This window comes from Homo sapiens, chromosome 14 (genome assembly GCF_000001405.40).
Source record: "Homo sapiens chromosome 14, GRCh38.p14 Primary Assembly".
In the NCBI taxonomy this organism is placed as follows: Eukaryota; Metazoa; Chordata; class Mammalia; order Primates; family Hominidae; genus Homo; species Homo sapiens.
The window spans coordinates 39,691,992-39,707,776 of NC_000014.9; the positions used below are offsets into that span (position 1 = coordinate 39,691,992).

General features: G+C 38.9%; 1 long non-coding RNA gene across 11 annotated transcripts in view; it reads left to right on the forward strand.

The window, feature by feature from the left end:
* Nucleotides 1-15,785, forward strand: part of LOC105370461 (uncharacterized) — a 433,650-nt gene that overhangs the window by 259,643 nt on the left and 158,222 nt on the right. The window lies entirely within an intron of this gene.

The window sequence follows — 15,785 nt, forward strand, 5'->3', positions numbered from 1 at the left end:
AACTGGGCATGGGGGCATGTGTTTGTAATCCCAGCCACTGGAGAGGCTGACCACATCTGGGAAAATCTTGCAGCTGGCTGGTGTGGTATGGTTACTCCCTGACCTCAGTGGGCCCTCAAATTTTCCTACTTTCTGCAATGATTATTTCACATTTTCACCAACTTTTCTCAACTCTTTCCACCCACCACCTCCCTACTTTCTCTTAGAATATCACATTGTCTTCTGCCCTGCAGACAAAATAGAAGCCAGGGTAGTAGCTGCCTCAAATTTCCACCCCTAAATCTTAAACTCACCCTTATCTAGCAACCCATTTCTTCTCTTCTTTGCTTCTTTTGTAGTGCAAAATGTATCTCCTCCTGTATAAGGCAAGCCCTCCACCTGTTCTCTCTTAAACCCTCCTGCCTGCAGGCACCTTGCTCTAGAGCAGTGGTGCTAAAGCATAAGTTTGCATCAGAATCACTTTCAGGTAGTTTTTTAAAACCCTGGGGCCCACCCCCAGAGTTTCTGATTTGGTTGGCCTGGGTGAGGCCAGAGAGTCTGCATTTCTAACAAGTTCTCAGGTGATGCTGACACTGCTTGTTCAATGACCACACTTTGTGAATCAATGCCTGTATTAGGGTTTTCCAGAAAAACAGAAGCAATAGGATATACATATATAGAAAGAGATTTATTACAAGGAATTGGCTTATGGCATTATGGAGGCTGCCATGTCCCAAGATCTGCAGGGTGAGTCAGCAAGCTGGAGACTCAGGAGAGACAATAGTGTAATTCTAGTCAGAAGGCTGCCAGGCTTGAGACCTGGAAAGAGCCAATGTTTCAGTTTGAGTCTAATGGCAGGAAAAAAACTGATATCACAGTTTGAAGGCAGGCAGGCAGGCTGGAGGAATTCTCTCTCACTTAGAGGAGGGTCAGCCTCTTTTATTCCGTTCAGAACAAAATACTGATTGGATGGAGCCTACCCACATTAGGGAGGGCAATCTGCTTTTACCAGGTTAGATATTAATCTCATCCAGTAACACCTTCATGGAAATGCTCAGATTAAAGTTTGACCAAATATCTGGGCACTTGTGGCCCAGTCAAGTTGACACTTAAAACTAACCGCCACATTCATAGGCATGGGCAAAGACTTCATGACTAAAACACTAAAAGCAATGGCAACAAAAGCCAGAATTGACAAATGGGATCTAATTAAACTAAAGAGCTTCTGCACAGCAAAAGAAACTATCACCAGAATGAACAGGCAACCTACAGAATGGGAGAAAATTTTTGCAATCTATCCATCTGACAAAGGGCTAATATCCAGAATCTACCAGGAACTTAAATAAATTTACAAGAAAAAAACAAACAACTCCATCAAAAAGTGGGCGAAGGATATGAACAGACACTTCTCAAAGGAAGACATTTATGCAGCCAACAAACATACATATGACAAACATACAACAAACATGGTCATTAGAGAAATGCAAATCAAAACAACAGTGAGATACTATCTCATGCCAGTTAGAATGGCAATCATTAAAAAGTCAGGAAACAACAGATGCTGGAGAGGATGTGGGTAAATAGGAACGCTTTTACATTGTTGGTGGGAGTGTAAATTAGTTCAATCGTTGTGGAAGACAGTGTGGTGATTCCTCAAGGATCTAGAACCAGAAATACCATTTGACCCAGCAATTCCATTACTGGGTATATACCCAAAGGATTATAAATCACTCTACTATAAAGACACATGCACATGTATGTTTATTGCAGCACTGTTCACACAGCAAAGACTTGGTTCCAACCCAAATCGCCATCAATGATAGACTGGATAAAGAAAATGTGGCACATATATACCATGGAATACTACACAGCCATAAAAAAGGATGAGTTCATGTCCTTTGCAGGGACATGGATGAACCTGGAAAGCATCATTTTCAGCAAACTAACACAAGAACGGAAAACCAAACACCACATGTTCTCACTCCTAGGTGGGAGTTGAACAATGAGAACACATGGGCACAGGGAGGGGAACATCACACACCAGGGCCTGTTGTGGTGCGGGTGTCTAGGGGAGGGATAACATAGGAGAAATACCTAATGTAGATGACAGGTTGATGTGTGCAGCAAACCACCATGGCACATGTATACCCATGCAACAAACCTGCACGTTCTGCACATGTATCCCAGAACTTAAAGTATAATAAAAAAAAAGACAAAAAAAGAAAGCTAACAATCACATTACCCTGTAGATAATCCCCTTTCTACTGTGTTCTTTGTCCTTGATTGTCTATCACATTTTCGCATTCACTAAAGATGCCCAAGCTTTTCCACCTGTATAAAATACTACTGCCAAGCCAAAATCTTCTTACTTTAAACTCATATTATCTTTTAGCTCTCTTCATACATCTCTCCTTCCCTTCACACCCCAAATTTAGTGTTCTTTTGGGCTGTCTCCTAGGCTCTATGATGTTCTATAAACTACGTAGGATTTCAGGCAATCTCGTTTACTTTCACTGCCTCAATAACTATTTATATGCTGATTTACCCTCATGTGTATCTTGGCTGAGCTTCATACCCATATATTCCAGTCTCTCTTGATATCTTATTTGCATACTTTTTGTCAGGAGCCTCAACATCAGCTTGCTTATGACTGAACTCATCATCATTTCCCTTCTCCTCCCTCTTCCTATGAATTTGCCCCCATGGCACATTTCCCTGTGTCATTAGGAACATTTAGTTTCCCCAGTTAAAGCCTTGGCAGTTATTCATCACACTTCTCTTTCCCTAATTTTTTATATCCGATTTATAACAAAAATCTCATACATGATGACTTCTAAATATCTCTCAAACGTATTTATGTCTCTTCATTGCCACTGCCACCATCCTAATTTAGACCATCATTATCTTTTTACTGGCCTGCTAAAAATCACCTCCTAAAATCACCTCCCTGCCTTTATTTCTTATTCCTCTCCCGTTCATTCTGTCTCCAAAGCCAGAATGATCTTTGATGTCACATATGATCATCTTTCTCTCATGCTTAAAAACCTCAGTGACTTCCATTTGCCTTTAGGTTAATGGCCTCACAACTTAAGAGCTTGAGATAACCTTAAAGCTTTTTAAGATCTGCCTAGCACTCTGGCAAAGAAAGATGCTGTCTGTGTCTCTTAGCTTTCTGTCCCATCAATATTAGGCTTCTTTTAGGTCCCAATTCTCAAAATACTCACCCTCTACTCTAGGCCTTTGAACACGTTGCTCTCTGCGGAAACAAGCTGTATCTCTCACCTCCAAGACTCCTGTATTTCCTCCCTTGGCCCTGCCCATATTATGATTAGGTGGGGTTGTTACTGTTTATGAAACTCATCTGTCAAATAGGGTGCCTCATTTAATCCTGAGAGGGAGATTGGCTGGTCTGAAATGAATAAAAAATGCGTGTAAAATATCCCACATAATGCCTACCATATAAGATGCTCAATAGATAGAAATTATTTTCTCTAACATCTATCTATCTATCTATCTATCTATCTATCTATCTATCTATCTATCTATTTATATATATATCTCACTTCTGTTGACATCAATCTCATCCACTAGTTTGGAAATCTCCAAATGCTTTTATTCCTTTCCAAGTCCTGGTGTCATGCTTTTAAAGATAGTAATTATAATGCTGACTTTTTAATTAGAATATTGATATAAAGAGGTATTGCCAATTCAGAAATGATTTTTACAACTTTTGTGGCCAAATATTTCCTTTAGAGTATTGAATCAGATTTCTGAAATGCATGGAAATTCATTCTTATTGACTAAGGCCTTTTCTTGGGCCATTAAAATGTCATATTTTCTCAGTTAAAAGGTACATTGGAGAGATTCAACATATGTGCCACATACAAAGTGGTTCTGTTTCACATCATCTAAAAACAGGCAAATTCATGACTTTAAGGCAGAAGACACAATTGTGTGATATAAATAGCTATAATTTAAGATTTCTATGTAGGTATGAATCATAATTAGTAATCTACATTTTGAGACAGATGTATAAAACATTACTGATCTCACATGGGTACAGGCAAGATTTTACTCTTAAAATTTACTATTGTGCTCAGCTTTAGATAAAAAGTGCTCAGTTTTAGATAAAAAGATGCAGAATGCCATTCATATACACGATTAAAATCTCCTAAGTGCCTAAACAGAATTCTCAGAACAAAAGAAACCCTGAGATTTTCTCTAGGCTGTGATAAATTAGCAAGTTGAAAAGTAAAAATCTCAGTAATACCTAGTATTAGCTCATAGGACACACAAATGGGTTGAGAAAATTCACCTCTAAACAACTGGATTTTATTAACTGACTTGTACAGATGGATATAGGCATGGTGGATGATCATGTTAGCATCTCGGAAAATTCATATGCCACTTTAAAACCTTCTGGGAAGGACAAACCTAGAATTCTTGCAAAACTGCAATGACAGTGACATAGAAAACACGTATAAGATAAAGAAGCAACTCAAATTGTAAAGGGGAAAAATCTCAAGTCACACCATATAGACCAGGTCACGTGGCTCTACTATTGAATGATAATTTGACACTTGAATCTCCAGGGCACATTTCATACTCTCCTTTTAGATGAGTATGGTACTTTTTGCTCTACGCAGATATGTGAGCAGGCATAGTTCTCATTTCCTAATGAGCAACAGATTCTCCCAGTGCGTAAATTAAGCTCTTTTGGAATCCACTACCATGCCTCAAGGGTATTATTCAGTGCACTGAAGTAGTAATTTACTAAATGGGACCCTCATGGCCCAAAAGAGTTCACGCAGCTTCTCAAATGCCTACCTTAACCAGGCAATGGTTTATGGTCTGGAGAACCAAATGAGTGTTCAATTATACTATTACATTTAGAAAAGGAGACTTTTTTTTCCCCCAGAAATTTTAGCTCCACTTTATGCTTTAGTTGAAAGTCAGGTTATTTTTAACTTCCTTATTCCTACAAGAATTTTTTTCTCCCTTATATTTTGTATTTTGTTTCATAGCATTGCCTAAGTAGCACTCTTCTCCCTCCAGTGAATGATTCTATTGAATTTTAGTTACTATGACTGTTCTCCTCATTGGCCTCATTTGAAAGAATGTTGGGAAAGGTAACAAAAATTGAAAAGCTTGCCACTTGGTCACATTCATTATTCTTCCAATTCATTTTCAATGACAAATTTTCTTCTTGGACATTAAAAAACACTTTAAAATTTTGACCACGGGTGTATTGCAATATTAATAGTGCAGTACTTTCTTTTACTTTTTTATTTCAATAGCTTTTGGGGTACAAGGGGTTTTTGGTTATATGGGTGAATTGCATAGTGTTGAAGTGTGAGATTTGAGTGCATCCTTTACCTGAGTAGTAGTGTGCATAGTACCCAATATATAGTTTTTTATCCCTCATCCCTCTCATGCCCTCCCCCCTTCTGAGTCTCCAATGTCCATTGTGCCCTTCTACATGCCTTTGTGTACCCATACCTTAGCTCCTACCTATAAGTGAGTGAGAACACACAGTATTTGTTTTTCCATTCCTGAGTTATTTCACTTAGAATAATGGCCTCCAACTCCATCCATTATGTTCTTTTTTTAAAATTTGTTTTATTTTATTATTATTATACTTTAAGTTTTAGGGTACATGTGCACAATGTGCAGGTTAGTTACATATGTATACATGTGCCATGCTGGTGTGCTGCACCCATTAACTCGTCATTTAGCATTAGGTATATCTCCTAATGCTATCCCTCCCTCCTCCCCCCACGCCACAACAGTCCCCAGAGTGTGATGTTCCCCTTCCTGTGTCCATGTGTTCTCATTGTTCAGTTCCCACCTATGAGTGAGAATATACCATGTTTGGTTTTTTGTTCTTGCTATAGTTTACTGAGAATGATGATTTGCAATTTCATCCATGTCCCTACAAAGGACATGAACTCATCATTTTTTATGGCTGCATAGTATTCCATGGTGTATATGTGCCACATTTTCTTAATCCAGTCTATCATTGTTGGACATTTGGGGTGGTTCCAAGTCTTTGCTATTGAGAATAGTGCCACAATAAACTTACGTGTGCATGTGTCTTTATAGCAGCATGATTTATAATCCTTTGGGTATATACTCAGTAATGGGATGGCTGGGTCAAATGGTATTTCTAGTTCTAGATCCCTGAGGAATCGCCACACTGACTTCCACAAGGGTTGAACTAGTTTACAATCCCACCAACAGTGTAAAAGTGTTCCTATTTCTCCACATCCTCTCCAGCACCTGTTGTTTCCTGACTTTTTAATGATCGCCATTCTAACTGGTGTGAGATGGTATCTCACTGTGGTTTTGATTTGCATTTCTCTGATGGCCAGTGATGATGAGCACTTTTTGTTGTGTTTTTTGGCTGCATAAATGTCTTCTTTGGAGAAGTGTGTGTTCATGTCCTTCGCCCACTTTTTGATGGGGTTGTTTGTTTTTTTCTTGTAAATTTGTTTGAGTTCATTGTAGATTCTGGATATTAGCCCTTCGTCAGATTAGTAGTTTGTGAAATTTTTCTCCTGTTTTGTAGGTTGCCTGTTCACTCTGATGGTAGTTTCTTTTGCTGTGCAGAAGCTCTTGAGTTTAATTAGATCCCATTTGTCAATTTTGGCTTTTGTTGCCATTGCTTTTGGTGTTTTAGACATGAAGTCCTTGCCCATGCCTATGTCCTGAATGGTAATGCCTAGGTTTTCTTCTAGGGTTTTTATGGTTTTAGGTCTAACGTTTAAGTCTTTAATCCATCTTGAATTAATTTTTGTATAAGGTGTAAGGAAGGGATCCAGTTTCAGCTTTCTACATATGGCTAGCCAGTTTTCCCAGCACCATTTATTAAATAGGGAATCCTTTCCCCATTTCTTATTTTTGTCAGGTTTGTCAAAGATCAGATAGTTGTAGATATGCGGTGTTATTTCTGAGGGCTCTGTTCTGTTCCATTGATCTATATCTCTCTTTTGGTACCAGTACCATGCTGTTTTGGTTACTGTAGCCTTGTAGTATAGTTTGAAGTCAGGTAGTGTGATGCCTCCAGCTTTGTTCTTTTGGCTTAGGATTGACTTGGTGATGCAGGCTCTTTTTTAGTTCCATATGAACTTTAAAGTAGTTTTTTCCAATTCTGTGAAGAAAGTCATTGGTAGCTTGATGGGGATGGCATTGAATCTATAAATTACCTTGGGCAGTATGGCCATTTTCATGATATTGATTCTTCCTACCCATGAGCATGGAATGTTCTTCCATTTGTTTGTATCCTCTTTTATTTCATTGAGCAGTGGTTTGTAGTTCTCCTTGAAGAGGTCCTTCACGTCCCTTGTAAGCTGGATTCCTAAGTATTTTATTCTCTTTGAAGCAATTGTGAATGGGAGTTCAGTCATGATTTGGCTCTCTGTCTGTTATTGGTGTATAAGAATGCTTGTGATTTTTGTACATTGATTTTGTATCCTGAGACTTTGCTGAAGTTGCTTATCATCTTAAGGAGATTTTGGGCTGAGACAATGGGGTTTTCTAGATATACAATCATGTTGTCTGCAAACAGGGACAATTTGACTTCCTCTTTTCCTAATTGAATACACTTTATTTCGTTCTCCTGCCTAATTGCCCTGGCCAGAACTTCCAACACTATGTTGAATAGGAGTGGTGAGAGAGGGCATCCCTGTCTTGTGCCAGTTTTCGAAGGGAATGCTTCCAGTTTTTCCCATTCAGTATGATATTGGCTGTGGGTTTGTCATAGATAGCTCTTCTTGTTTTGAGATACGTCCCATCAATACCTAATTTATTGAGAGTTTTTAGCATGAAGGGTTGTTGAATTTTGTCAAAGGCCTTTTCTGCATCTATTGAGATAATCATGTGGTTTTTGTCTTTGGTTCTGTTTATATGCTGGATTACATTTATTGATTTGCATATATTGAACCAGCCTTGCATCCCGGGGATGAAGCCCACTTGATCATGGTGGATAAGCTTTTTGATGTGCTGCTGGATTCGGTTTGCCAGTATTTTATTGAGGTTTTTTGCATCAATGTTCATCAAGGATATTGGTCTAAAATTCTCTTTTTTGGTTGTGTCTCTGCCTGGCTTTGGTGTCAGGATGATGCTGGCCTCATAAAATGAGTTAGTGAGGATTCCCTCTTTTTCTATTGATTGGAATAGTTTCAGAAGGAATGGTACGAATTCCTCCTTGTACCTCTGGTAGAATTCGGCTGTGAATCCATCTGGTCCTGGACTCTTTTTGGTTGGTAAGCTATTGATTATTGCCAGAATTTCAGAGCCTGTTATTGGTCTATTCAGAGATTCAACTTCTTCCTGGTTTAGTCTTGGGAGGGTGTATGTGTCGAGGAATTTATCCATTTCTTCTAGATTTTCTAGTTTATTTGTGTAGAGGTGTTTGTAGTATTCTCTGATGGTAGTTTGTATTTCTGCGGGATCGGTGGTGATATCCCCTTCATAATTTTTTATTGCGTCTATTTGATTCTTCTCTCTTTTCTTCTTTATTAGTCTTGCTAACGGTCTATCAATTTTGTTGATCCTTTCAAAAAACCAGCTCCTGGATTCATTAATTTTTTGAAGGGTTTTTTGTGTCTCTATTTCCTTCAGTTCTGCTCTGATTTTAGTTATTTCTTGCCTTCTGCTAGCTTTTGAATGTGTTTGCTCTTGCTTTTCTAGTTCTTTTAATTGTGATGTTAGGATGTCAATTTTGGATCTTTCCTGCTTTCTCTTGTGGGCATTTAGTGCTATAAATTTCCCTCTACACACTGCTTTGAATGCGTCCCAGAGATTCTGGTATGTTGTGTCTTTGTTCTCGTTGGTTTCAAAGAACATGTTTATTTCTGCCTTCTTTTCGTTATGTACCCAGTAGTCATTCAGGAGCAGGTTGTTCAGTTTCCATGTAGTTGAGTGGTTTTGAGTGAGTTTCATAATCCTGAGTTCTAGTTTGATTGCACTGTGGTCTGAGAGACAGTTTGTTATAATTTCTGTTCTTTTACATTTGCTGAGGAGTGCTTTACTTCCAACTATGTGGTCAATTTTGGAATAGGTGTGGTGTGGTGCTGAAAAAAATGTATATTCTGTTGATTTGGGGTGGAAAGTTCTGTAGATGTCTATTAGGTCCACTTAGTGCAGAGCTGAGTTCATTTCCTGGGTATCCTTGTTAACTTTCTGTCTCGTTGATCTGTCTAATGTTGACAGTGGGGTGTTAAAGTCTCCCATTATTATTGTGTGGGAGTCTAAGTCTCTTTGTAGGTCACTCAGGGCTTGGTTTATGTAACTGGGTGCTCCTGTATTGGGTGCATATATATTTAGGATAGTTAGTTCTTCTTGTTGAATTGATCCCTTTACCATTATGTAATGGCCTTCTTTGTCTCTTTTGATCTTTGTTGGTTTAAAGTTTGTTTTATCAGAGACTAGGATTGCAACCCCTGCCTTTTTTTGTTTTCCATTTGCTTGGTAGATCTTCCTCCATCCTTTTATTTTGAGCCTATGTGTGTCTCTGCACGTGAGATGGTTTCCAGAATACAGCACACTGATGGATCTTGACTCTTTATCCAATTTGCCAGTCTGTGTCTTTTAATTGGAGCATTTAGTCCATTTACATTTATAATATTGTTATGTGTGAATTTGATCCTGTCATTTTGATATTAGCTGGTTTTTTTGCTCGTTAGTCAATGCAGTTTCTTCCTAGCCTCAATATTCTTTTCAATTTGGCATGATTTTGCCGTGGCTGGTACTGGTTGTTCCTTTCCATGTTTAGTGCTTCCTTCAGGAGCTCTTTTAGGGCAGGCCTGGTGGTGACAAAATCTCTCAGCATTTGCTTGTCTGTAAAGTATTTTATTTCTCCTTCACTTATGAAGCTTAGTTTGGCTGGATATGAAATTCTGAGTTGAAAATTCTTTTCTTTAAGAATGTTGAATATTGGCCCGCACTCTCTTCTGGCTTGTAGAGTTTCTGCCGAGAGATTCGCTGTTAGTCTGATGGGCTTCCCTTTGTGGGTAACCCGATCTTTCTCTCTGGCTGCCCTTAACATTTTTTCCTTCTTTTCAACTTTGGTGAATCTGACAATTATGTGTCTTGGAGTTGCTCTTCTCGAGGAGTATCTTTGTGGCGTTCTCTGTATTTCCTGAATCTGAATGTTGGCCTGCCTTGCTAGATTGGGGAAGTTCTCCTGGATAATATCCTGCAGAGTGTTTTCCAACTTGGTTCCATTCTTCCCATCACTTTCAGGTACACCAATCAGACGTAGATTTGGTCTTTTTACTTAGTCCCATATTTCTTGGAGGCTTTGTTCATTTCTTTTTATTCCTGTTTCTCTAAACTTCCCTTCTCATTTCATTTCTTTCGTTTCATCTTCCATCACTGATACCGTTTCTTCCAGTTGATTGCATCGGCTCCTGAGGCTTCTGCATTCTTCAGGTAGTTCTCGAGCCTTGGCTTTCAGCTCCATCAGCTCCTTTAAGCACTTCTCTGTATTGGTTCTTCTAGTTATACATTTGTCTAAATTTTTTTCAAAGTTTTCAACTTCTTCACCTTTGGTTTGAATTTCCTCCTGTAGCTCCGAGTAGTTTGGTCGTCTGAAGCCTTCTTCTCTCAACTCGTCAAAGTCATTCTCCATCCAGCTTTGTTCCATTGCTGGTGAGGAGCTGCATTCCTTTGGAGGAGGAGAGGCACTCTGCTTTTTAGAGTTTCCAGTTTTTCTGCTGTGTTTTTTCCCCATCCTTGTGGTTTTATCTACTTTTGGTCTTTGATGATGGTGATGTACAGATGGGTTTTTGGTGTTGATGACCTTTCTGTTTGTTAATTTTCCGTCTAACACACAGGACCCTCAGCTGCAGGTCTGTTGGAGTTTGCTAGAGGTCCACTCCAGACCCTGTTTACCTGGGTACCAGCAGTGGTGGCGGCAGAACAGCAGATTTTTGTGAACCGCGAATGCTGCCGTCTGATCGTTCCTCTGGAAGTTTTGTCTCAGAGGAGTACCTGGCCGTGTGAGGTGTCAGTCTGCCCCTAGTGGGTGGTGCCTCCCTGTTAGGCTGCTTGGGGGTCAGGGGTCAGGGACCCACTTGAGGAGGCAGTCTGCCCATTCTCACATCTCCACCTGCATGCTGGGAGAACCACTGTTCTCTTCAAAGCTGTCAGACAGGGACATTTAAGTCTGCAGAGGTTACTGCTGTCTTTTTGTTTTTCTGTGCCCTGACCCCAGAGGTGGAGCCTACAGAGGCAGGCAGGCCTCCTTGAGCTGTGGTGGGCTCCACCCAGTTGGAGCTTCCTGGCTGCTTTGTTTACCTAAGCAAGCCTGGGCAATGGTGGGCGCCCCTCCCCCAGCCTGGCTGCCGCCTTGCAGTTTGATCTCAGAGTGCTGTGCTAGCAATCAGTGAGATTCTGTGAGCATAGGACTCTCGGAGCCAGGTGCGGGATATAATCTCCTGGTGCGCTGTATTTTAAGCCTGTCAGAAAAGCGCAGTATTAGGGTGGGAGTGACCCGATTTTCCAGGTGCCGTCTGTCACCCCTTTCTTTGACTAGGAAAGGGAACTCCCTGACCCCTTGCGCTTCCCGAGTGAGGCAATGCCTCGCCCTGCTTCAGCTCATGCATGGTGCGCTCTACCCACTGTCCTGTGTCCACTGTCTGGCACTCCCTAGTGAGATGAACCCCGTACCTTAGATGGAAATGCAGAAATCACCTATCTTCTGCGTCGCTCACGTAGGGAGCTGTAGACCGGAGCTGTTCCTATTCGGCCATCTTGGCTGTTTCCCTCCATTTTGTTCTTTTTTATGGCTGAGTAGCATTCCAAAGTGGGGAGATATATATATATATATGTGTGTGTGTGTGTATATATATAATATCACATTTATATATCATATATCACATTTTCTTTTTGATATAATGACTTCTTTTTTCCATTGTGTAGATATCCAGTAGTGAGATTGCTGGCTTGAATGGTACATCTACTTTTAATTTTTTGAGAAATCTCTGTTCTGTTTTCCATACAAGTTGTACTAATTTACATTCCAACCAGCAGTGTACAGGCATTCCCTTTTCACCACAGCCATGCCAACATCTATTGCTTATTTGACTTTTTTATAATGGCCATTCTGGCTGGAGTAAGGTGGTATCTTATTGTGGTTTTAATTTGTATTTCTCTGATGATTGGTGATGTTGAACATTTTGTTCATGTGTCTGTTGCCCGTTTATATATCTTCTTTTGAGAAATGTCTATTCATGTCATTAGCCCACTTTTTGATGAGATTATTTATTTTTTTTCTTGCTGCTTTGTATTAGTTCCTTTAAATTATTGATGTTAGTCCTTTGTCGGATGCATAATATGCAAATATTTTCTCCCATTCTGTTTACTCTGATGATTATTTCTTTTTCTGTGCAGAAGCTTTTTAGTTTAGGTAGGTCCCATTTATTTATTTTTGTTTTGGTTGCATTTGCTTTTGGGGTCTGAGTCATAAATTCTTTGCCTAGGCCATTGAAGTGCACTACTTTCTATACAGGCATTCTGCTATTGTCCAGCAATGACCACTTCAGAATTATTTTGAACTTTTAAAGGTTTGCCTCTGTTAGCCAACTCTCTCCAAAATCTTTAAAAGCACAACTGAGAAAGTAAATTTAAAATTTTATGAATAATTGGCTAATCTTAAAAAGCATAACATTAGAATTTATTTTACTTTGCGTTTGAGATTTTGAATTTGATCTATTTTTGGTTAATAGGACAATATTGTTCATGTAGCAAATTTAGGTGGCTAACATGCTGTCATTTCTATATTCTCTAGGTGGCAGCTTAGCTCTACCTTTTAAGCATCTCCCTTTAGTGTTTTTCTCACTGGCATTTCATTTAAAAACTGCTAACATAATGCACAACAACATGTAAAATGAATACAGCCAAACGTTATCTGCCTGCCTTTAATGTCTTGACAAGGTTTTTCATGTAGCTTTGCCACACTGCTGATTTTAATGGAGGGATTCAGAGATAGCAGCACTGAAAAAGTACTCTTATTTACCATTTTTCTCATATGAAGGTCAATAACTGGGTCTTTTATGATTAAGCTTCAGTTATAAAGCATCCACATTGTTCTAGAGTTTGTACTTTTTCTGCACGTAGTGTTGAGCCAATTGTCTTGCTATTTAGTCACATTTGAGATGTGTTTATTTCCTTCTCTCCATTACAGTTTCATGAACAGCTGGGTTTGAATGTCACGATATCCTCATTCTGTTCAGTTAGAGTGCAAATACCTTCCTGAAAATTATGAAAATATAGCTTAACTCTAGAATAAGAAATTACACTGTCTCGTAGAGGAAAATCTCAACTGGGAGTGATGTTTGCTCCTCAGGGAATATTTGGCAATGTCTAAAGATGTTTTTGATTGTTGAACTAGTGGGAGGGAAGTGCTGCTACTAGTATCTCAGTGAATAGCAGCCAGGGATGCTGATAAACATCCTAAAATGCAGAGGATGGTCCCCTACAACAAAGACTTAATCTAGCCCAAAACATTAATAGTGCAGAGGTTGAGAAATCCTGTTGTAGAGAACAGAGCCATAGTGGTAGTAATATTAAAATCAGTACAAGTTTTAATAATCAACACAATAACTCCATATAAGTAGTTTACTGAAGTTCATAAACATTATAAACATCCTTTAGAAAAATATCTTTTTTGATTAATTTGATAATAAGCTTTTCATGAAACTATTCTTGTTCCCTGTCGTCCTACCCATTTTCCTCAAATGGTTAAAAATAAACTGTGCCCTTGTATTTCATTTTCTTAATTAAAAATATTGCTCAGCTATTATTTTGCATATCTAAAACTCAGGAAATCTCTTTATGAGAAAACTGTGTTTACTGAGTACAGAGAGTTAGTTTGCACATCTGTCAAGATCTATATGCAATTTTCTTTCCTTTCTATTTTGTAAGTCAATTTTATTAAAATGGGTTTGAGATGTCTCAAGTTTATCAAACCTATTGACTGTGGAATATATTAATTAAAACTATTGAAAATCGAGGTCTGAGTATACTGAAGTTCCCAAAGAATTTAGTGTAAAGGAAGCTACTTAATTTGTCATTGCCAAGATGCTGCGAAATAATGACAAACTTGTTTAGCATCCTGAAACTGCTACTGGTACAATTTATCATGTTTTGCCTGAAGATCCATTGTGTGACATAATTAAGAATACATACTATATATGGATTCATCAGGTATTCTGTCATCTAATACTCTGATATGGTAAGATGTTTTGGCTACTTTATGTTCTCCTTAGACTAGTGATTTTTCAAATTACATCTTATTATAAATCCCCATATATAAAATGGATTAAATCTGAGCTACTTTTCCTGTGAGGAAGGAACCTGTCTTGCCTCGTGGAGCAGCCCCAAGGCACCATTGCAGAAGCTCAGCTTTCTATTGAAAATAGTTCCAAAACCACTGTCCTAAAGCATTAATATGCTAAGCTTGCTTTAATCACTAGTTTTATGATATCTGAGTGTCTATCTTAGGGAAAAAAAAGACAAAACTCTCTCTTGAGTCCAATTCTCCTCTAACCACTATCCCCTTTCATTGTTCCTTTTCCAAGCATAATATTTCAACATGTTTTCTATATACCTTTCTTCTACTTTCTCATTTTTGATCCACTTCTAAAACTAATTAATTTTCTTCTAGTTCTATTATTTCATGGAGGCTGCTTTTGTCAAGATTACCAGCCATGTCCTTGGTGCTATAACTGATGGTTGCTTTACTCTCTTCTTGCTCCACTTCTTAAAAAGTACTGATGAAGCTGACCCATCTTTCCTTCTTGAAACATTCTCCTATTTCTACCTTTTCCCAATTAGCTTCTTCTTGGTCTTTCCCACCTTTAACTGTTGGACTTCTTCAGGACTAGGTCTTGAGCTCAGCTGTCTCTCTCTCAACTCTCTTCTAGGTTGTCTTATTCATTTCTGTGACTTTAAATATCATCCATATGTTGATAACTACCATATTTTACATTTTCAGGCCAGTTCTTTCTTTTGAGTCCCAGATCTGCACACCCAAGTGCCTACTTGAAACCTCCTCCTGGATGTTTCCTGGTTCTCATCTGGCCTCTCCCATCTCAGTGAATAGTACTGCCATCAGAGAGTTGCTTCGATGAGTAACCCAGCAGCCATTCTTTATTCCCCATCTTCTTTCATCATCCACATCCACATCTGCCATCAGAAATTCCTATCTGTACTTTCTTCTTTTTTTTTTTTAGCATGCTACTTTATTTTTTATTTATTTATTTAATTTTATTTTTTATATATGCCGTGGAATACTATGCAGCCATAAAAAAGATGAGTTCATGTCCTTTGTAGGGACATGGATGAAGCTGGAAACCATCATTCTCAGCAAACTATTGCAAGGACAAAAAACCAAACACCGCATGTTCTCACTCATAGGTAGGAATTGAACAATGAGAACACTTGGACACAGGAGGGGGAACATCACACACCAGGGCCTGTTGTGGGGTGCGGGGAGCGGGGAGGGATAGCATTAGGAGATATTCCTGTCTGTACTTTCTTCAGTCATATGCTTCAAATATTTCCACACATCTCTATTTCTACTGTGGCTATGTTTAGCTACGTCTCCATCATCTCTCAATTAAGAGCCTACTAACTCATCCTTCTGTTTTCACCCTTGTCCTTCTTTCATTCATTCTCCACGAGGCCACTGGTGTGGTTTTTAAATAGTAAATTGATTATATATCTTCCCTGCCTACAATTCTCACATGAATTCCTATTGCATTTAGAATAAAATTCAAATTCCGTACTGTGGTTTGGAC